This window comes from Homo sapiens, chromosome 17, assembly GCF_000001405.40.
Source record: "Homo sapiens chromosome 17, GRCh38.p14 Primary Assembly".
NCBI lineage: Eukaryota > Metazoa > Chordata > Mammalia > Primates > Hominidae > Homo > Homo sapiens.
In genome coordinates, this window is record NC_000017.11 from 69,146,187 (window position 1) to 69,169,955 (window position 23,769).

Here is a 23,769-nt window from a genome sequence, read left to right on the forward strand (position 1 = left end):
TACGGAATATATATATACGGAATATATATATACGGAATATATATATACGGAATATATATATATACGGAATATATATATACGGAATATATATATACGGAATATATATATACGGAATATATATATATGGAATATATATATGGAATATATAATATGGAATATATATATGGAATATATAATATGGAATATATATATGGAATATATAATATGGAATATATATATATGGAATATATATATATATATATGGAAAAATGTTGCATGTGTATCTTTGGCAGGGTTCTCTAGAGGGACTGAACTTCTGCAGCATTGTTTCTAACAGGAAAACTGAGAAACAACCTGTATATCTTTCAATTTATTCTCAACTAAAAAGTTTTGGTACATCCAAACACTGAAATACTACATACACACTACAAAAAAAAAAAACTGACTTAAACTGACATAGGTATACAATAAACAAGGAAGGTGTGATGTTCGTAGTATGATGTTAAGTAATTATATAATAGTAGATATAATATTATCCTGTGTGTATATGATAGAAAAATGTATTAGCTAAGAAAGAGTATTTTCCAGTTTAGATTGTATAAATACTATAATTTTTATGGCAAAACATATAAGATTTTAAAAATTATATTTTTTAAAGTTAAATGAATGGAATTCTCCACTTTGACAATTTTTAAGTGTACAATTCAGTGACATTAATTGCATTCACAAAATTGTGCAACCAGCACCACTGTCTAGTTCTCAAATTTTTCATCAACCCAAACAGGAATTCTGTAACCATTAAGTGATAACTCCCACTCTCTCCTCCCCCTAGCCGCTAGTAATTTTTAATTTCTTTCTGCCTCAGGGAATGTGCCTAATTTATTAATAGATATTCCATATGAATGTAAGCATACAATATTTTTCCTTCTGTGTCTGATTTCAAGCAAATTTTGTTTTATTATATTTTTGCCACAATAAAAAAAATTAAATGGATTGAGACACTGAGAATTTATGGGCAATAACTCTATATTCATTTTATTTGCAACAGTTGTTTTTTTTTTTTTTTGCCCAATCTAACACAATCCTGCTAAATTTTCTGATTCATTTGCTTCTGTATTCATCCAATCAATGTTTCATATTGCTCTGCTGCAAAATCTGCTTGTTGGAAGCATGTGAAAGTCAGCAACTGCATGTCAGCTCTGCTTCCATCAGGCCTATCTTCTTACCGCTGCTTCTGACTTTAGGGTGGTTTCTGTGGCAGTGGTCCTCCTGTCACTTTTGGAACAAGACACATTTTGCATTGAAGTTGTTGCTTGCCTGACGTCCTATCTTCCCAGGTGTTTCACAGGACACTTTTAGGCTGACTTTTTCAGTTGGGATTCTGAAACCACAGGTTGTACAAGAAGCGTGGTGCCAATATCTGCATCCAGTGAGGCCTCACACTGCTTCTACTTGGCAGAGGTGAAGTGGAGCCAGCATGTGCAAAGATCACATGGTGAGAGAGGCAGAGAGAGGGAGAAGATGCCAGGCTCTTTTTAACTACCAGTTCCCCTGGGAACTAACAGAGTGAGCACTCACTCATAATTGCAAGGACAGCACCAAGCAATTCATGAGGGATACATCCCTATGACCCAAACACCTCCCACTGGGCCCCACCTCCAACATTGGGAATCAAGTTTCAACATGAGATTCACAGGGTCAAATATCCAAATGATAGCAGATGGATAGTGACTTTTTTTTACAGGTCAGAGAATAAAGTTATATGGATCTTACAGAAGAGAGAGAACCATCAGTTGATATCTTAACCACTTACCTTAAGACTCTAATGAACAAAACATAAGAAAAGTCCATCAAAGTTTTATTTCTAAGAAATAAACTTGCATATAACCCGAACGTAACAACTCTGGTATTACATCAATACAGCTATAACATTAATGCAGCAATTATATAACACAAAAGTGCTATAATGACATGGGAAATGTTCATGAACTGTGAGGTGAAAAGATACAGAAAATGACTATGCCTACTGATACTACCTTTGAAAAAGGATCCATAAAAAATACATTGAATATAAGTTGGCTAAAGAAAATATTAACTGCGGTACTTTCTTACAGATTATGGCTATCTTCTTCCATATAACTTCAATATGTACTAAAATTCACATGCATTTATTTTATAATCAGAATGTCATTATAATTAAATGTTATGCTGTGCCATTTCATCAGTTTATCAGACCTTCTTATAGTCAATGTCACATTAAATTAGAATCCGAGTAAATAATGTTTAAAAATAGCTGATACATTTGAAGTTCAGGCTAAAAACCTCATATTTTTATTTGTAAAATGTTCTCAGTGTTAGCTTTATTGATAATAACCGATAACCAACCTAATATTGTATGATTTTTAAATTATTTTTAAGCACAAAATAGACCCATGTTGGGGATGAATAACATGTCTGATTTTGTTAATTTTGTCTACTACTTTTCCCTATATTTCCTTGTTTCCTTCATCCTAAATTTTTAAAAATGAAAACTGTAATCATTATTGAATGTTTATTAAATGTTTTCTTTTGTTAACTGAAGTAAAAGGAAACATTCTTGTAGAATTATGGAAACTAACAATGTAGTAGGACCTAAAATTGAATGTTAGGAGGTTCTTCATTTTAAGGGTCTTCCTGTGGGAGAAGTTTCCATTCAACTGTTGTATCAATTTTATCATCAACATTTCCCAGCTCCTGCTCTTTACAGAGTTCTAAGAATACCTAAGTAAGAGAAAATAAAAAAGATACAAAAATGTCAGGGTGTGTCTGAAAGATGGATTCACACAGAGGTCATCTGGATGGTGCTCACTCGTTCAATGAAAACCCACCTGCTCCAAGGTAGCCTGAGAGAGGCTGTATTCCTCCAGGTTGAAGGTCTGTTTCACTGCATGTAAAGAGACTGACATTAGTGGCTTATATATTTTTCACCAAGTGTTTGTAAAGTCATACAATAGAGACAGTAGCTTCAAATTGTTTAGATACTGTAAGATATAGGCCAAATAATTACATTTTCTTGAAGGATAAAGAAGAGTGGTGATATGGCTAATAAAAGATAGCCATGCATGAACATATTCAGTTTCCTATAAACTCGAAAAAGCTCCTTGTGTCCTATTTTAGTATTATCCTTTTGATTCTTTACATATATGCTTTGGACTCCAAATCAGTTGTCGAGAATAATTTATTCTATATTTGTAAATCTACAGAGGAGTCCACTCCATGCTGGCTCCCTTTTCACACTTGTACATTCTGCGTCAATAGCCATAAATACGCAGTGTCTCTGGAACTAGTTCAGAAGCCCCTCTTCAATAGTGACTTGTTACACCTCACCCCTCTGTGTTTTCTTTCGCTGACCTTCACTCAGTCCTCCAACTGTTGCCTCTGTACATTTGCTCCTGGTACCTTGGCTTTTAGAAACATAGAGACCTCAAGAGCTCCCCTTGATATTCTTTGGGACAACATTCTCATAATTATCCTTCAATTCTATGCACGGGTGTCATGGTAAGAAACAGCCCTGGTACCCCAATTCAATCCTGCAGGATAGAGTAACCTGACTGACTTGTGGCTGGGCTTCCTGGTCAGCACAGGAAGAATCAGGTGGAACAAACCAACATCTAGGACCATGACTTCATTTCCTTTGAGATTGTTATGACTATCCTGGTAGGGATTTTTCAAGTTTTGATTGATTATTTCATTGTTCTACTTCAAATTACATAGTCTATATTCCACATGAAAATATGCAACCAATACATAAAGTCTTATTTATATATACCCAAACTTACTCGCCTCTAACTTGAAAAAGGCCCGAGATAGAGGGTGGACATCCTCCACAGGTAACTTATACGCCATTAAAGAGGAATATCTGTCAGGAAGAAGAGTGAGATTTATTACTAAGTTTCAGTGTGATAATACGGGGGAGGAATTAATAGGCAAAGTAAAATAATTTTTCAATGTGTTCTTTAAATAAGTGTCTGATTTGATATAGCATGAATCAGTGTGAAATTACAGATTCAATCATAAAAAAAGTTATAACAACAAAAATCTGGTTGCCTCTAATTTTATGTTAAAGATAAATTCTGAGAAATAGCTCTGATTAAGAATCTTTCCCACTCAGCCTGCACTTTGTTATTGTGCTATATTTCTTACTTACTCTCAAAAAGCAACCTTTCTAGAATGTTTACATTACCTTTCCCCTCTCTCATAGGAGAGATTGAGATTTAATTTTCAATCTCTCCTATAAAAATTAAAATATGTTGAACTCTCTCCTGCTAAAAAAAAATTTTTTTCTTGACCTTCAGACCCCCTTTCATGTTGCACAATCCAAGGAACACTCTTCAGTCCTCATTTTGCAAACTTTTCAAAAGCATTAAATAAAATTGTACACACCCTCCTTAAAACAAACATACTCTTTCTCTCTTAGCTTCTGAGACAACCACACTTACGATTTTCCTTCTAACTCTCTAGGCCTGCACTGCTTAATAGAGTAGCTATTAAATCCATGTGGCTATTTAAAGTAATTAAAATAAATAAAATTGAAAATTCAACTCCTCATTCACACCAGCCACATCTGAAGTACTCAGTAGCTACGTATGTGTAGTGACTACCATCCTGGACAGCACAGAAAGGACATTTTCATTATCACAAAAATTCTACTGGCCAATGCTGTTCTAGATACTCCTCAGTCTTTGTTGGTATGGTTGTGGTGGTACTGTCCACACAGGAAGATTTATTTTCTTCCTCAATCCCATCTCAAAGCTGAGAGCTCCTGGGGTTCATCCGACTTCCTATCTCTCTTGTTGGCCTCAACATTCTCCTAGTTTAATGGTCTTCTATATGGTAAAAAAAATCCCCCACTTTGTTTGTTGCCAGACCAGATCTCAATGACCTCTTCCTTCTCTTGTGAGCCACAGGTCTACATCTCTTACTTTGGCATCTCCACTTGGATATCTCTTTACACATCAACTACATGAGCTTTTGTTTCATCCTTGACATTTGTAGAATTCATTCTTGACCTAAGTTCTTTAAATGTGCTGTTTCCTGGAAACAGTGTCTGTTACTCCCACTCTTCAGCTGACCAAACCCTGCTCAGTCTTAAAGTCCTACCTCAATGTCATATCCTCATTTATTTGTATCTTCATTTGCTTAATATCTTCACCTCCAAAAGGAAGAACCTTGTCTATTTTGTTGACTATTCAATACACAGCCGGCAGCAGATAATACGTATTCAATAAATATAACAAATATTATAAAAATAAATGAGTAGAAATGGTATACAAGAAAATTCTGTTCATCTTTCAATTAAATTCAGCCTCATTCTGCTATTCACAAGGGTTTGATTACCATTACTTGTAACACATGGTTGACCACATACAACTTTAAAAGAAACATTGGGAGGATCAAATGATTTATAATTGAATAATTTAGGATAGAGTCAATCCTTCTCAAGCATGGAAGTCTGTGTTACGGAGCTCTTGATGCAATTTATATTCAGCAAAATCCTGTAGGTGAAAGCATTGTTTTCATTGTCTATTTTTTAAAAATCATTAAAAAGTTGATAGTTTAATTTGTCTGTACTTTGTTCTTAATCTCCAAGCCATTCCACCATTTACACACATATATGAATGCACACACACACACCATTCACCTTTTCTGAGGTCTAAAACACTCACTGAAAATAACTGTTTAGTTTTTGTAACGCATCCTAGCAATCCTCAAACAGGTTGTTTTGTGATGAATAAGTCCACTCTGCCTTTCTCTTCCGGTTTAGACTAGCACAAAACTAATTGATGCTAATACTGGAAAACACTCATACTTGTCACTCAAACCGAAAACATCCTTTACCTTTCCTGCCAAGCAGCCTGTGGGAAAAGCTTCAAAATCTCTGTGTGGAGAGCTTCCACCTGGGTAGGTTCTTTCATTTTTATTTCTAGTAAATAATCTCTACCAAACTTGTTTTTCAGATGTTGAATGGAACCAATACACCTAGTTCAGGGGAAATAAAGAAAAAATACTTGTCTCTTAATTTCTTCCTCGGTTCTCACTGTAGAGGAAGGTGTTTAATTACAGGTTAGGGAGCTGTAGAGCATCAGCTGTTCATAGCAAACTGAAACTCTCTCTATAAGAACATGCTAGTCCCATGCTGGTCAGGACAGGCACCCACCTTAGCGTTCCTGACACCATCATGGCCATACGGTCACACACAGCCTCAGCCTCTGACATGTAATGGGTGGTCAAGAGGGTGCCCCTCTCCTTGTTTTTAACGGTAGCCTGAAGTATCTGCCTAAAGATAAAGTAAGGGATTGTTTGCATTTAGAAAGTAATTTGGGGAAATAGATAAATAGAAAAAAGCAGGAAATCTAAAGAGAAAATGTTATGTTAGGATGCAAGAAACCTGTGCAACATGGTGAAACCCCATCTCCACAAAAAAATTTAAAAATTAGCCAGGCATGGTGGCACATGCCTGTGGTCCCAGCTGCTTGGGAGGCTGAGATGAGTGGATCACTTAAGCCCAGGAGGTCGAGGCTGCAGTGAGCTGTGATTGCACCACCGCATTCCAGCCTGGGTGATGGAGAAAGACCCTGTGTCAAGTAATACAATTAAGTAAATAAATAAATAAATAAATAAATAAATAGGCTACAAGAGAAAATCTTTGCCATAGAGAAAAAGAATAGAAATTGTGTTATATTGCCTAATGATAGTACCATATTAATAGGCTTCATAAAAAAGAAGAGTATTGGTTAAAATAATGCACTATTGGGGAAGAAAAGTAGGAAAGTTGGAGTAAAAAATACAGAAACATCATACTATATGACTTTCAATAACTGAAAAATGAAATGGAAAAATAAAAAGACAGGGGGAAGAGGAATAAGAAAGAGAAATCCAAACAAATATAATCAAGAGTTTATTTGGGTCTTAAAATATCTATTTTTTCCCTCCTGCAGGAATTTTGAATGCTATATTAGGTTTCACTGAATTACATAATAGAAGATGTGCACATCAAAGGTTAATGGAGCAAAATGTAACAAAGAAACAAAACAAAAACAAAAACAAAATATCCTAGAGGTATTCTCTTGACTCTGACACTTAATATTCACTCTCCTTACCACATTTGCTGCTGCCCCTCGGGGTCCATCCCGGTGAACGGCTCATCTAGAAGCACCACTGATGGGTTCCCCAGGATGCTCAGCACAAAGCACAGCTGCAATGCAAGGAACAGCCCGTCGGCACCCAGCCATGGGTGCACAGGGAAACCCCGAGCCTGGCCCATACCTTTCTCTTTATTCCCTCTGATAGAGTTTTCACAGGAGCCTTAAGTTGTTCCTGGAGCTTAAGAGCTTCCACCAATCTGACAAAAAACAGTGTGATTATACATGAAGTATATGGCAAATGGACCTATCTAAAACAACTGTAGGAAACTCTAAGCACTATTATTCTAGATAGTAAATTTAAGCTTCCTTAACGTTTTCATAAATGCTAAATCTTATGATTTGGTTCTTATTCAGGTATTTGAATCATTTTATTTGCATGAAAATTTAAAGACATTGTTTATAATTTCCTTTTAATATATAATGAAGAAATGACATATTTTCCCCTTCCTCCTGCTACAAATTGTGAGACTTCTCTCTGTACCGTGAAATACTGAGAGCAGCATCTTCTTTGCCCAGTCCTTTCACAGCTGCATACAACTCCAAGTGCTCTTTCATTGTAAGCTTGGGCCACAGTGAGTTCTCCTGAGGGCAGTACCCCAAGAACTTGAGGCTGTTGTCATGCTGTTGCCTTACTGATGCTCTGCTGCCTTGTAACACCACCTGCACAAGACAATGAATGTCAGATTCACCTTTGGTTTTTGCTCCAATCCCCCTTCTACTAAAGGAGATAAAAGTGGCCATTAAGCTACAATATTTTTTGAATACGCAAGAGAAATTTTATAAATTCTTTCATCTATTTTTTAAAAAGATATTTGATTTACTGATAGGAATAATAGAAAGATGTCATCAATATTTAAAATAAAATTTCCTTCACATGTCACATACCACTCCTGCAGTTGGCTTTGTGCACCCAGTTATCATTTTAATGGAAGTACTTTTACCAGCTCCATTGTGTCCTAGTAATCCCAAAACTTCACCTGGAAGAAAGAGTCACCATCAATATTTGAATTTTCAAGGTTGACTAATCTAAAATTGCTTGGTTGGTTGCATAACATTTTGAAACAAAATGACTTTTTTTTTTTTTTTTTTTTCAGAGACAGAGTTTTGCTCTGTTGCCTAGGCTGGACTGTGGTGGTGTAATCATTGCCTGCTGCAGCCTTGATCTCCTGGGCTCAAGCGATCTTCCTGCATCAGTCTCCCAGGTAGCCAGAACTACATGCATGCACCACCACACCCAGCTAATTTTTAAATTTTTTGTAGAGATGGAGTCTTGCTATGTTGCCCAGGCTGGTCTCGAAATCCTGGCCTCAAGCCTCCCGCCTCAGCCTCTCAAAGTATTAGGATTAGAGGCACGAGCCACCGTGGCCACCTCAAAATAACATTTCTGAAACAAATGCTTAGTTAGCACCTTGAAAAATCTCCTGTATTACAACATTAATACAGAGAATCAGGGTCTTCTTAATCCAAGACTGGGTTTCTTGCCATTTGAATTGGGACATGATTTTGAAGTAGAAAAGACTTATCTGCTGACATGTGAAGAAGTTTTATAATTACACATTAACCAGGATATATGAACAGTCTCAATGAATAAAAATTTGTCCCCTTTGTAGTCTTAAATCTAGAGAATAAGGAACATTATAATAATAATAAAAGGAACAATTGTTCAAACCTTTTTTAACACAAAAGGAAACATTTCTGATGGCTATTTTCTTCTTTCTTGTTGAAAAGCAACTTTTCTTTGTCTCATAATATTCCTTGTGTAAACAGCTTGCAGTTATGACTGGTTCCTGGAAAACATGACAAAGCATGATTTCCCTGTTAAATTTCAGATACTTTACGAATTGATGTTTTATTTTCCATTCCCTAGTCTATAAACCCAACTAAATTTAATGCCAGGCTGAAGAGCTTTAGCCTCTTTTTTCAAATAAAATACCCAAATGTATGTTCATAAATAAGGGCTACTTAATCAACTACTAATAAAATTAATTCCTAATCAAATACATTCCCTTTGCATTATGCTAGCAGCTATCTTTGCCCTTTCAACAATTTCATTCCCAGTTTATTCCTTATTGATTTCCATGCATTGTAAATTCATTTGCTCTTGTTCATATGCTATTCAGTTATTAATATTACAAGCATACTATAATATAAAATGTAATTGCAACTCTTGAAAAATGTGCGATTTTGCTAAAATTGATTAAAAAATTCGAGAACTTGTTGATTACACTGATGAATGAGGAGCTGGAAGAGTAAGACCCACAGAAAACTGAAGAAGAAAAAATTAAAAGAATGAGGACAGGGTAGTTACTTTTAAAGAGAATAATTTGAATATAAGCTATAAATAGAAATATTAAAGAAACTAAAGCAGCTTTTCAAAATAAAAACCAACATCTCATCAATTCTAGAGGACAAACTATCTGAGCATTTTATTAAGGGTCTAATCCCTGCTGTTCACCTCCTCCAAGTTTGGAGCAGTGAGTGCATTTGCTGCTTGGACTCTTTCAGCTTGAACATCTTCATCTTCTTCTTCGGGCTCTTCCGGATTGGGATGAGTTTCTCTACTCCGTGGAGAGATTCTACAGAGGAAATAAAATAACATAAAAATGCAATTTTGGCTGTACAACTGTTAAGAAAATGTAAACCCCTATAATTAAATTATTATCCTTTTTAAAAAAGACTATCACATCATTAATTTATTACCTACAAGATTCTTCTTGGCAGTAATAACACCTCCGGTAGCCAAGTCCCTTGAAATATTCTTTGACTATTTCTTCTCTTTAAAACATTGTATCCTATCTGTCAACTGGCTCTGTCACTTCGTTCTTTTAAATCACTCAAATGTAGACATACGGGTCTTTTAGTCTGTCACCATCCAGATCATGACCACATTCCTCATAAAAGATCATCCTAACTGGTTTTATATGGAACCAGTTTTTACTGTACCTTCTCCTTAGGGACCCATAATGGCCACAACCAGGAGAAAAGCAAGCTTTGATGCTTAAACACTACTTACAGACATGTACAGGACAAAAACTTATCTTGCCTAAAATCAGAACCTATGACTTAGAAACTATCCCTGCATCCAATCTAATTCTGTTTTCTTTTTCTGAAAATAGCACTGTGCAATATGCTTAGCCAAGTGTTGGGTAGTAAATCCATTTTAATAAACTGATGTTAAATGTACTGCAATAAAGACTAAATATTTAAGATCACAACAGGAGGATTACTTGAGGTCAGGGGTTTGAGACCAATCTGAGCAATATAGCAAGATCCTGTCTCTATTTTCAAAAATAAAAACAAATAAAATTATAAATTTAAGAAGATTAAATATTTAAATTACATTCAGATCTCAATTAGTATTCTCCCAACCTGAAACCCTGTTTCTATTTTCAAAAACAAAAACAAATAAATAAATGAAATTATAAATTTAAAAAGACTAAATATTTAGATTATATTCAGATCTCAATTAATATTTTCCCAACCTGAAAACTGGGTCTTTATTCATTATTTCATTTCCATACTTCATTTCCAGACACCTTATGACAAAAAGGAAAATAACACTCTGAAGGTATGGCTAAAAGAAAAGAAAAATAATCAGAATTAGCATCACCATGGCATTCACACTCAATGGTGAATATTTGTCCATTTTTTTGTCACAGAAGATTTGATCATTTTCTTGAAGATTTGATCATTTTCTTTTAAATTTGACAAGCAACTTGTAAAATACTTCTCATGTGGAAGAAAGGTTTATTCAAACTCACCCTCCCACTGAGAAAGAATTAAAAAGCCCACATTAATTTTTTTAAAAACTTTTAAAAAGCATAGAAGAGCTAATAAAATAGTATGGGCTTTTAAAGCCAAATCTAAATGAATACAGGAGATAGGTTTAGCCCCAAAGCAACTCTTGTCCTAGAGTTATTCTTTATCCTTGAAATACTCAAACTTCCGTTTTCATGCCATGTCCAGGAGCAGAAGACAGAAGAAACTGTTGAAGCAGAGAGTCTTCCCCAAGTAAGGGGTAGATAGGTCACTCTTTCTCTAATAAAGGATGGACCTCAAAGGGTTATATTTTTAGTGAGGGGTGAAAAGAACCCTCAGGATATTGCTAACATCATTGCCTTGAGTGCTCATCATGGAAGGAGAAAGTGAAGGTGGAAATACAAGCCAGCTTTTACACAGACTTGGAGCCCAAATTCACATCGCTGGATGGTCAAAACAAAACCTCAAGCCTAGGACATGGTTTAACATGGTACCAGACTGGTAGTGTCCCTGTGAACTTGACAGAAGCAAACAAAATGTAATAGTTATCCCAGAAACAGACTCTACATATATAGGCAACTGATATATGAATAGAAGTAGCTCTGAATATCAATGGGAAAGGCACAGACTTTTCAAAACAGTTGTCTCAACTGCTGGGACAACTGGACATCCTTAAAGATAGAAATAAAACAAGTCCACAGGAAAAAAAAAATGAATTTTAGATGATTGAAGACATAAATGTGAAAGGGAAATATAAATATTTTAGAAAATAATATAAAATAATATCTTCTTGACCTTAGGGAGGGGGGGATTTCTTAAACATTACAGAATATAAAATAAAATTTATTAATTTTTAATGGTTTTATTTAAAATAAATTAATCATTCTTAACAGAGGCTCACAGGCTTTGAGAAGATTCCAGATTCATTCTTGATAAATACTAGAAACAAACAAAAGACAAAAGCTCTCAGTAACTCAGGAATTGAGGGATTTAGTAAGATAAATAGTTTATATTTTTAAAAGTTACTATGATGATAATGGTTAAGCACTAAGAAAATTCTCAGTAAAATCAGAAACAATGTAAGGACGCCTTCTTGCAACAGTGTTAGTGTTAGTGGATGATTTTTAGAGATTCAAGCCAATGTCATAAAGCAAGAATATATAATGCAGTATATATTTTCAAAATAAAAATATAATTATTTCATAACATGGTTGTTTCACCGGAAAATGCAAGATAAGAATCTGAAAAAAAAATTGGAAATAAGAAAATTCAGTAAGGTAAACTGATATAAGATAATTGTACAAGAATTTTATATTTTTGTATAGAAACCTAGCTAGAACGTGCAATGGGAACAAAATTTTATGGCAAATAAATAAATACATAAATAAATGTAACTGAATATACACAAAAGGGAAATAAAGTAAAAATATAAAATAAAATACTAAAGTATATAAAATAAACCTTAAATGCAGATAAACCTTTAAACATAAATATTTTCAACTCACAAATACTGCTCTAGCAAAATAAACATTAACAATAATGTCCATAAAAGTCCACATACCAGTTTCTGGCACTTGACTGCATTCTAATTTTCATCAATAAAATTGAGTAGGAAAATAGAAAAGTTTTGAAAAATTAGGATGATAGGACATATGTATCATTTTGAATTGATCAAAATATATAAAGCTACCATAATTAAAACAATGTAGTCCTGACACTGATGTAAACAAATGGATCAATGGGGAGAATATCAACACAATCAGTCCATAGATATAAGCAAATTTAATACTGATAAAGATGTCATTTCATGTTGGAAGACATAAAATGGAGTATTCATAAATGGCATTGAGATAACTAAATGCCCTTTTTTGGAAAAACTTAAAATACAAAGGTTAGTCTATATCTAAAAACAAATCATAAAATATATCCAGAAGATTAAACATTTAAGTATTTTAAGAAACAGCAAAAATTATAAAACAGGAAAGGGTGACCCACATTCAGAAAAAAAAATTAGTTAACAGAAATTGGTTTTGAGTGTTATCAAAGATGTAGAAAAGCTACTATACATTCACTAAACTAAATAAAGTCATATTTCAAAAATTAAAGTAAAATATGACTCAAATACAGACTTTCTATTATATAATTGATCTGAAGAACAGAAAGAAAAATGATGAGCAATAAATAAACAGAGCCTCAAAGATTATCAAGCATACCAAATATATGTAATGGTAGTTCCAAAAAGATAGGGGAGAGAGAAAGAACAGAAAATTTTTTTTAAGAAATGATGGCCCAAAACTTCCAAAATTTGTTTTAAAAAATATTCATATACACATTCAAGGAGCTTAACAAATCATAGGTAAGATAATTACAACAAGATCCATATCTAGACACATCAGAGTCAGATTGCTGAAAATCAAAGGCAGAGAAAACAGTAAGTGGGAGAGGATTCATCACTCAGAGAGAAGCAACAATACAATTTCTTCTCTTCAGAAACAATGGAGGCCAGGAGAAAGTGTGATGATGTAATCAAAGAACTGAAAGAAAAAAAGTATCCAAAAATTGTATATCCAGTAAAATAATTTTTCAAAATAAAATCATTCCCAAGTTGTTCCAAATTGCCTTAATGTGGCCATCATTACATTAAAAAGGGAGACAATAAAATAAATAAATCAGCTATAAAATTTTTATTTTAAAATAGACCAATGGAATAGAATAGAAAACCCAGAAATAAACCCTCCCATATATGCTCAAATAATCTTCAACAAGGGTGCCAAGACCACTCAATGTGAAAAAGACAATCTCTTCAACAAATAGTGCTAAGAAAACTGATGTCAATATGTAAAAGAATGAAGTGGAGGCCTTATATTATACACAAAATTAACTCAAAATGGATCAAAGACCTAAATGGAAGACCTAAAACTATAAAACTCATAGAAAAAAACTTAATAAAATTGGACTAGACAGCGATTTATTCAATACGACACTAAAAACACAAACAACAAAACCAAAAATAGACAAATGTGTTTGCATCAAATTAAAATATTCTGTGCATCAAAGGACACAACTGACATGGTGAAAAGATAACCTACAGAATACAAGAAAACATTTTCAAATCATATATCTGATAAGGAGTTAATATTCAGAATATATTTTTAAAACTCCTACAACTCAATAACAACAAAAATTCAAATAACCCAATTTAAAAATGGGCAAATAATGGCCGGGCACGGTGGCTCACGCCTGCAATCCCAGCACTTTGGGAGGCTGAGGCAGGTGAATCATGAGGTCAGGAGATTGAGACCATCCTGGCCAACATGGTGAAACCCCCTCTCTACTAAAAATACAACAATTAGCTAAGTGTGGTAGCATGCACCCATAGTCCCAGCTATTCAGGAGGCTGAAGCAGGAGAATCACTTGAACCCAAGAGGCGGAGGTTGCAGAGAGCCGAGATTGCACCACTGCACTCCAGCCTGGTGACAGAGCAAGACTCCAGAAAAACAAACAAACAAACAAAAAAACCAAATAACTTGAATAAATATTTCTCCAAAGAAGATATATAAATGGCCAACATTAAATGTCAATGAAACGCAAATGAAAACCACAATGGCATACCACCTCACATCCATTAGGATGACTACTATATAAAAAAATAAGTGTTGGTAAGGATGTGGAGAAATTGGAACTCTTGTACACTGTTGGTGAGACTGCAAAATGGTGCAATTTCTATGGAAAACAGTATGGAGGTTCCTCAAAAAATAAAACTAGAACTACCATATAATTCAGCACTCCCACTTCTGGGTATTTATCCAGAAGAACTGAAAGTAGCATCTTGAAGAGAGATTAACACACCCAAGTTCATAGCTTACAATAGCCAAGAGGTAGAAGTAATGCAAATGTTTATTGACAGAATGAATAGATTTTTTAAATTATGGTATATACATATAATTCAATATTATTCAACCTTAAAAAGGAGTGAAATCTTGACATATGTCTCAACATGGATAAACCTTGAGAACATTATACAGAGTGAAATAAGCTAGTCACAAAAAGACAGATACTTTATGATTTCATGTATATAAGATATATAAAGTAGTAAAATTTATAGAAGCAGAAAGTAGAATGGTGATTACCGGTTTGGGCAAAGGGGAAAAGGGAAATTGTTTAATGGCTATACAGTTTCAGATTTACAAGATTAAAAGTTCTGGAGATTCTTCTCACAACATTGTAAATATGCTTAAAAAACTGAACTATATATTTAAAAATCATAAGGATGGTAAATTTTATGTTACGTGTCTTTTTATTACAATTTGAAAAGCTGAAAAAACTTATATGTGAAAAATAATTGCAGTTGTTTTTACCACCACAGGTCACTGACTAGAAACAAATAGGTAAATAGCCATGAAGTATAATGTGGTGGGATGTGACGAAAGCCGCTTCTAGGCCTGGCCGTTAAAACAAGGGGACTTCAAAAATACCATGAAAAATTCATATGATGAAAAACCTATGTGTGGATTTCAAATTTGGGGGGCAACAAAATAAACTCATCCTAACTTCTTATAATATGTTTGAACAGGATCTGGTTTGAGGTACTAAGAAGGGTACATTCATTTGAAAATAGGTACATTCATTTGAAAAGAGCCCCTATCAGAACATGAATTCTGCTAAAACTGAAGCAAGAACAAACATCAAGTGTATGGAGAAGCTTGGAAGGAAGAATGGTGAAATCATCGATGCTGTAAAAAAGTTTATGAGGGCAATGGCCCAAAGAAATTAGCAACTTACAGATGGTTAAGTGGTTTTAAGAAGGAACAAGACAATGTTGAAAATAAGTCCTATAGCAGCAGACCATCCACATCAATTTGAGAGGAAAAAATTCATCTCTTTCATCTCCTAATTGAAGAGGACTGACAATTAACAGCAGAAACAATAGTCAAATCACAGACATCTCAACTGATTCAATTCACATAATTCCGATTGAAAAATTAAAGTTAATCAAACTTTCTACTTAGTGCAGGACAAAACTGTTGTGCCCAGGTTAGCAGAAGACAAGAGCAGAGCATTCAATGGAGATTTTAAACACATGGGATCGAGATTCTGAAGCAATTTTTTTGAATAACTGTTTACAGGAAATAAAACATGGCTTTACCAGTATGATTCTGAAGACAAATCACAATCAAAACAATGGCTACCAAAAGGTAGAAGTGGGTCCAGTTAAAGCAAAAGTGAATTAGTCAACAGCAAAGGTCATGGGCAACAGTTTTTTGGATGCTCAGGGCATTTTGTTTGTTGACTTTCTGGAGGGACAAAGAATGATAACATCTGCTTATTATGAGAGTGTTTTGAGAAAGTTAGACAAACATCCAGGAAATCTTTACTAGAAGGTCCTTCTCCATCATGGCAATGTTCCTGCTCATTTCTCTCATCAAACAAGGGCAATTCTGTGAGAGTTCCTTTGGGAAATTATTGAGGGGTATCCACCTACAGTTCTGATTTGGCTCCTTCTGAATTCTTTTTGTTTCCTAATCTTAAAATATATGTAAATGGCACCCATTTTTGTTCAGTTAGTAACGTAAAAGATACTTCAATGACAAGGTTAAATTCCCAGGATCCTCAGTTCTGTAGGAATGAACTAAATGATTGGTATCGTTGCTTACAAAAGTGTCCTCACTTTGATGGGGTTTATGTTGAAAAAATTACATATATACATATACATATACATATACATATACATATATATATATATATATGAGACGGAGTCTCTCTCTGTTGCCCAGGCTGGAGTGCAATGGCACAATCTCAGCTCACTGCAACCTCCATCTCCTGGCTCAATCGATTCTCCTGCCTCAGCCTCCCGAGTAGCTGGAATTACAGGCACATGCCAGCACGCCCAGCTAATTTTTGTATTTTTGTAGAGATGCGGTTTCACCATGTTGCCCAGGCTGGTCTTGAATTCCTGACCTCAGGTGGTCCACCCACCTCGGCTTCCCAAAGCGCTGGGATTACAGGCGTGAGTCACTGCGCCTGGCCAAAATTTATATTTTTTTATTTTCAACTTTTAGTTCCATTTTCCCATGAGGATTTTGGAGTCCCATCTTGTCTAATGTTCTAACCTTTTCTTCCACTGCAAAGGCAACCCTGAAGATTGAGGGGTGTCAAAAAGCACAGCCACCAAATGGAGGTGCGCAGCCAAATACACAATAGAATTTATTTGAAAAATAAATCCCTATTAAGTCTTGAAGGTTCCAGGGTTTGTTTGCTGTGTCAGAGTTGCAATGAACATATATTCCCCAGCTGGACAACTGTATGCCTTTAGAATTCAATGGTCAATTAAAAATGACTATATATGGAACATCTCTGCATGTATTTACAAAACAGGAAAAATATACATTCATTATACAAAGACCCAGGTAAAAATGTATAAAAGTTTATAAATCAAAACAAATTTAGAGGTTTCTTCCTTGATAAACTGCTGTTCTGCTATTAAAGAGGAAACAAGAGGTGTGCAAACAAGAGTATGTTTCCTCCTTCTGCCTCATTTGCCATAATACACAGAAATAACATTTATATTCGCTTTCATTGTCTTTCCCCACTATAAAATTTCATTTAATCTTTCTCCTTTCCTCCTCATTATTCAAATTAGTTGTTATTAACACATATTTACTTGATTCTGAGCCATACACCATATGCTGCATTTCTTACATACTGCCTCAAATTGTCTTTGGATACATATCAACAATGTCTATCACAATAACAGCAACCAAACCTTTAAATGTTCTAGTATGTATTATATTATCTGTGAATCTATTTTAAAAATATCTTTAGTTCTTGCTGCCATTATATTGGAATGGAAAATACAGAAAGAGTGGGTATTTTAAGACATTTAAATTTGGCATACCTTGAATAAGATTTCACGGGGCTATGAATCTTATGCAATATATATATTTAGGTAGAAAATGTTCCTTACTATTAAGGTTGTTAAAAGAATGGTTTTATTGACTTCATTTATTCTATTGTCCAGACTGTCCAAGTTTCTCATAAAGTCGAGCTGAAAAAAAACCCACCAACAGTTAAATGCAAGTTTCTCTATAAATATAAAATTTACACATTAAATACACCCACATTATACTTGATGTTCTATGGGACAACAGTAAGTATTCCATGAATTGAGATGAGAAGAGTTGTTTTCTGATGCTAAAGTCTACTGATGACCTGACATCTTTCCTTAGTTATGAACTCCAACACTGTTTATTTTCCAATTGTATGTAATAGGGATTTCCAAGTTTCTCTTTAGTGGGAGTGACAAAGTACAGAACTATGAAGTAGGCAAGATTTGCCCACAGTTCCCCAAAATTCTCAGTGGTATTTAGTTTCTGTCAGAAGTGGTTAATAGAATCATGTTTTCTTTCCCTCACTCACAAGTCATACACTCCAAAAGCAATTTATTGACACTAAGTAGTATGCAATCAATAAGTCCAATAAGATTTTAGACATTGATCAACATTGAAATGAAAAACTTCTATCCCCTGGCAAGATGGATTCACCACAAGAGAGCATGTTTTATAACAATGGAAAAGTTTTAGTCCTGTCTCAGAATCACCTCTGGAATTCATAAACCACGGTTGGGCTTCCTGCTGTATTTCTGCATGGATTGACCCTCTTCCTGCTAGTATGAATAGTGATCTCAGCAAATTTGACAGCTTTCAATTTTATACAGCTTTAAAATCTTATTTTTAGAATTTATCAGCATTGAATAACTTCAAAATTTTATAAATGCACCTGTTCCGACAATGGGTAAGGATTTTATTAATGGGCTACAAGGTCAAGACTGGAGACACAGTAGGTAACACTGCTTACCTGGATCAATAACATGACATACCCCAGCAAAGTGAAGGAAGGTATGAAAATCATGCACAAAATTAAGTTGAGTTTTTCATATTGAGTTGATACCATAATTGTGGATACACATATTAAGATCTAGAAAAAAATCCAGAAGTATTATAATTTTCTCAGTTATATTTGATATCTTAAGATATTTCCTGTGAATAACCTGTTTTCCTGGGAGATACTGCCATTTTCAACTTTTACCTCACAGATAGAAATATTCTTAGGATATCCTCTTTAGGAAGTCTCAAACTTTCACTGCAACTAAAACATAGGATTACAATAAGGTCTGTCATAAATACCTTAAAGATTTTGCAATACCCAGTAGGGATAAACAGCAACAATAAAAGAAGGTGATGTAACATTATTTATTTTGTCTATTATAATAAATCTTAATATGTTTTCAGTACAAGGATACAGTGAAGAATTAACTGATGATATGACTTGGGAACTTAAAAGGCAAAATAAACTTTGAGGTTGGTGTTTATTGCCATATCTAAGCAGTCAGAGAAATGTAAGAATTATCAGTCTTGATATCCAAGGTAGGAATATTGAACAGTTTAGAACATTCCCAGAGGTAAATTATATGGTTGTCACTTTAAAGGGCAGCCCATATCCCCACTCAGACTGTTAGTCGTTTCCTAAAATGGCTCCCTGGCTCCAGTTCTTCTGCCATTCAAAATTCATATGACATTCCAAAGAGTATATACAGTTAACTCTTGAATAACATTAGTTTATTGTAGGTGGATTTTTTTCAATAAATATGTTAGAAATTTGGGGGAAGATTTGTGACAATTTGAAAACCTCACAGATGAACCACATTGTCTAGACATATTGAAAAAAATTAAAGAAAAATTAGGTATATCATGAATGCATAAAATATATGTAGATATTAGTCTATTTTGTCATTTACCACTGTAAACTATAAACAAATCTATTATGAAAAGTTAAACTATATCAAAACATGCATAGAAACTCTTACATACCATACATGTTGCCATTAGCAATCAAGAAAAATGTAAACATAAAGATGCAGAATTAAATCATGACTGCATAAAATTAACTGTAGAACACACTGTACTACTGTAATAATTTTGTAGTCACCTCATGTTGCTACTGTGATGAGCTCAAGTGTTGTAAATATTCCCTTAAAATGCTGTGTGAGGCTAATCATCTTATTCTCAAGCAAATGGCATATCTCAGTAAAAAGTGGCTTCTCATGGTTCTTGCAGATCTTTCATTGTGTTTAGTGCAATACCATAAACTTTGAATAATACCGTAGGACCTAGGAATTGCCACTAGTGATTCCAGAAGTTCTCCCAAGAAGCAGAGAAAAGTCATGAGATTACAAAAAAAAAAAAGGTTGAATTGCTTGATATGTACCATAGATTGGGGTCTGCAGTTGCAGTTGCCTGCCATTTCAAAATAAATAAATCCAGTGTAAGGACCATTGTAAAATAAGAAAAGGATATTTATGCATCTGTCACTGTAGCCACACCAGCAGGCACAAAAACCTTGCACTTTTTTTGAAATACTTTGAAATCTCACATTGATGATCCAACTTTTATACCTATAGGCTTTAATACAATTTGAGAAAAAGTGAAGTCATTATATGACAACTTAAATAAAAGGTTAAAGATCTAAGGCTGGAGAATGTAATGCCCTCAAAGGATGCTTTGTTAATTTTAGAAAGAGGTTTAACTTAAAAAATGTCAAGATAACAGAGAAAGCAGCTTCCGCCAATCAAGAGGCAGCAGACAAGCTCCCAGATGCTATTAATAAAATCATTGAAGAGTAAGTGTATCTGCCTGAACGCATTTTTAATACAGATGGAAGTGCCCTCCCTATTCTGGGGGGAAAAGTGCCACAAAGGACACTGATTAGTAGAAAACAGAATCAAGCACCAGGATTTAACGTAGAAAAGGATAGGCTATTTGTGCAAATGCAGTTGGGTTGATGATCAGTACTGCCATTATCTATAAAAGCTGATAACACTCAAGACTTGAAGGGAAAAGATAAACACCAATTGCCAGTCTTTTGGTTATACAACAAGAAGGCCTGGACAATGAGAACCCTTTTTCTGGATTAGTTCCATGGATGCTTTGTCCCTAAAGTCAGCAAGTATCTTGCCAGTAAGGAACTGCCTTTTAAAGTTATTTTGCTACTGGACAGCACCCTTGCTAACCCAGAACCATGTGAGTTCAACACTGACGGCAACAAAGCGGTCTGCTTGCTCCCAAACACATCTCTAATCCAACCTCTAGATCAGGGGTCATAAGAACTTTTCAGGCTCATTACACACAGTACTCTATGGAAAGGATTGTCAACATCATAGAAGAGAACCCAATAGAGAGAACATCATGAAAGTCTGGAAGGATTCCACCATTGGAGATGCCATTGTTATAGAAAGAGCTGTGAAAGCCATCAAGCATGAAACAATAAATTGCTGCTGAAGAAAATTGTGTCCAGATGTTGTGCATGACTTCACAGGATTTACAATAGAACTAAACACAGAAATAAAAAAGAGATTGTAGACAGGGCAAATAGGGTGGGGAGTGAAGGGTTTCAAGACCTGGATCTTGGAGAAATTCAATAACTAATAGACACCACACCAGAGAAATTAACACAAGACAATTTGATGGAAAGGAGGGTTTCCATTGCCAGATGATGAGAAAGAAGATGTAGAAGAAGCAGTGCCAGAAAAAGAATTGACATTAGACAATCTGAAAGAAGGATTCTGATTATTCAAGGCTCCTTTTGACTTATTTTATGACATGGAATCTTCTATGATACAGGCACTGAAACAAAAGCAAACAGAGGGAAAAGGATTGGAGCTATATGGAGATATTTTTGGAGAAATAAAAAAGCAAAAAGTAAGACAGAAATTATAATATATTTCTGTAAAGTTACACCATGTGTGTCTGTCTCTCCCGCCTCCCCTTCCACCTCTTCCACCTCTTTCACCTCTGACACCCCTAAGACAGCAAGACCAACTCCTGCTCTACCTTCTCTTCCTTCTTGGCCTACTTAATATGAAGACAACAAGAATGAAGACCAAGAATGATAATCCACCTCTACTTAATGAATAGTAAATATATCTTTCTTATGACTTTCTTAATAACATTTTCTTTTCTCTAGCTTACTTTATTGTGAGAATACAGTATATAATATATATATACAAAATACACGTTAAGCAACTATGTTATCAGTAAGATTTCAGTCAACAATAGGCTATGAGTAGTTAAGTTTTAGAGAGTCAAAAGTTACACATGAATTTTCAATTGCATGAGGGTAGGGGGTTGGTGCCTCTTACTCCGACGTTGTTCAAGGGTCAAATATATTTTGATTTGAACAGGAATCATTCTCTTTTATATTCCATTGAATTTAAGTCCTCTGATTGCAGAAAATTTGCTTTGTTCATGGTTATATCCCAAGCAAAGTATCTGGCACATAGGAAGATACAATCAATATGAATGAATGAATAAATATTGGGAAGGGCAAACAATAAGGAGGATTTCTATTTCTCTGTTTTTATTCACCAAATAATCAAAAAATATGCATATTAACAGTGCAGTTGATACAAAACACTTTGTTAAATAGTTACTGTAGTTACAGGAATAAAATTGGAGGAAGAAAAGGAAGATTACACGGTTTGGCTCTGTCTCCCAACCAAATCTCATCTTGTAGCTCCCATAATTCCCATGTGTTGTGGAAGGGACCCAGTGGGAGATGACTGAGTTATGATGGCAGGTCTTTCCTGTGCTGTTCTCATGATAGTGGATGGGACCAACAAGATCTGATGGTTTTCAAAACAGGAGTTGCCCTGCACAAGCTCTCTCTTTGCCTACTGCCATCCATGTAAGATGTGACTTGATCCTCCTTGCCTTCTGCCATGATTGTGAGGCTTCCCCAGCCACATGGAACTGTGAGTTCTCCATTAAGCCTCTTTGTAATCTTGGGTATATCTTTATCAGCAGTGTGAAAACAGACTAATACAGAAGAAGAGGATAATAATTCCTATTGAGTACTTCATGAACATTTACTATTTATCAGATATTTTAATGAGCAGTTTACCAGCACTATAATAGTTTATGCTCTTTTAAAATCTCAATCCTAAAACACTAGAAAGTACTACTGTTATTATACATATATTCTGATGTTTAAATAACTGAACCTCAAAAGAACTGAAATAATGTGTTCAATTTCTTATAGCTACTAAGTGCCAGACCACTGAGGATTAAAACCTGGGGCTATCTAACTCTAGAGCCAAAATTCTTAATCATTATACTTTCCTAAGGGATATTGTATCAGTCAACTGTCCATACATCAAGTCAATATATAATGTACTGGATACCATGAACTTATATATACAAAACAGATGTTTCTAAAAGCCTAAAACAGAGAAGCAGACATTTGTGAACTGGAAGATTCACTATGTAAAGATATCATTTCTCCCCCAAAGTAATTTATAGATTCAATGCAATCCCAATTAATATCACTTCTTGTGGAATTTGACAAGAAGATTCTAAAAAGTGCACGCAAATGCAAAGAATCAAAAACAGCCAAGATACTTAAAAAAGAACAAGGTGGGAAGGTTTGCTCTCTCAAATAAAGCTACCATAATTGAGACAGCATGGTATTGATGTACAAATAGAAAAACAGATTAATGGAAGAAATCAGAAAGGCCAGGAATAGTCTTGATTGATAACAAAGGTAGCACTGCAAAGCAGTGAGATAATGATATGGACAAGTGGATATATAAATATGATACGTATCAAAAAGGCATATAAACAGTGTTTCTTCCGTATGTACAAGAAAAATTTTCTGAAGGAATAAACAATATAAACTGAAATAAGCTCAGGGTTTCATCAGCTTATTTTATAAACATTGTGTATACTTCAGAATCTCCTCAAAGATTTCGTGGCCATAGTATTTGTAATTATTAAAGGTATTGCTCTAACAAAA

At 34.6% G+C, this 23,769-nt stretch overlaps 1 protein-coding gene across 2 annotated transcripts in view; it reads right to left on the reverse strand.

The window, feature by feature from the left end:
• Positions 1 to 1,820: 1,820 nt before the first annotated feature.
• The window catches only part of ABCA10 (ATP binding cassette subfamily A member 10), a 96,842-nt gene continuing 74,893 nt past the window's right edge, over positions 1,821 to 23,769 (reverse strand). For both annotated transcript variants that reach the window (NM_080282.4, NM_001377321.1), the window contains 14 exons: positions 18,778 to 18,897; positions 17,888 to 17,968; positions 10,646 to 10,737; positions 9,619 to 9,739; positions 8,833 to 8,950; positions 8,049 to 8,140; positions 7,645 to 7,823; positions 7,285 to 7,360; positions 7,119 to 7,213; positions 6,176 to 6,295; positions 5,857 to 5,997; positions 3,798 to 3,877; positions 2,847 to 2,902; positions 1,821 to 2,739 (listed from right to left, as the gene is read on the reverse strand). In NM_080282.4, coding sequence (NP_525021.3) covers positions 2,641 to 2,739; positions 2,847 to 2,902; positions 3,798 to 3,877; positions 5,857 to 5,997; positions 6,176 to 6,295; positions 7,119 to 7,213; positions 7,285 to 7,360; positions 7,645 to 7,823; positions 8,049 to 8,140; positions 8,833 to 8,950; positions 9,619 to 9,739; positions 10,646 to 10,737; positions 17,888 to 17,968; positions 18,778 to 18,897 — 1,470 coding nt within the window. In that variant the 3' untranslated portion in view covers positions 1,821 to 2,640. The remainder of the gene's footprint in view (positions 2,740 to 2,846; positions 2,903 to 3,797; positions 3,878 to 5,856; positions 5,998 to 6,175; positions 6,296 to 7,118; positions 7,214 to 7,284; positions 7,361 to 7,644; positions 7,824 to 8,048; positions 8,141 to 8,832; positions 8,951 to 9,618; positions 9,740 to 10,645; positions 10,738 to 17,887; positions 17,969 to 18,777; positions 18,898 to 23,769) is intronic.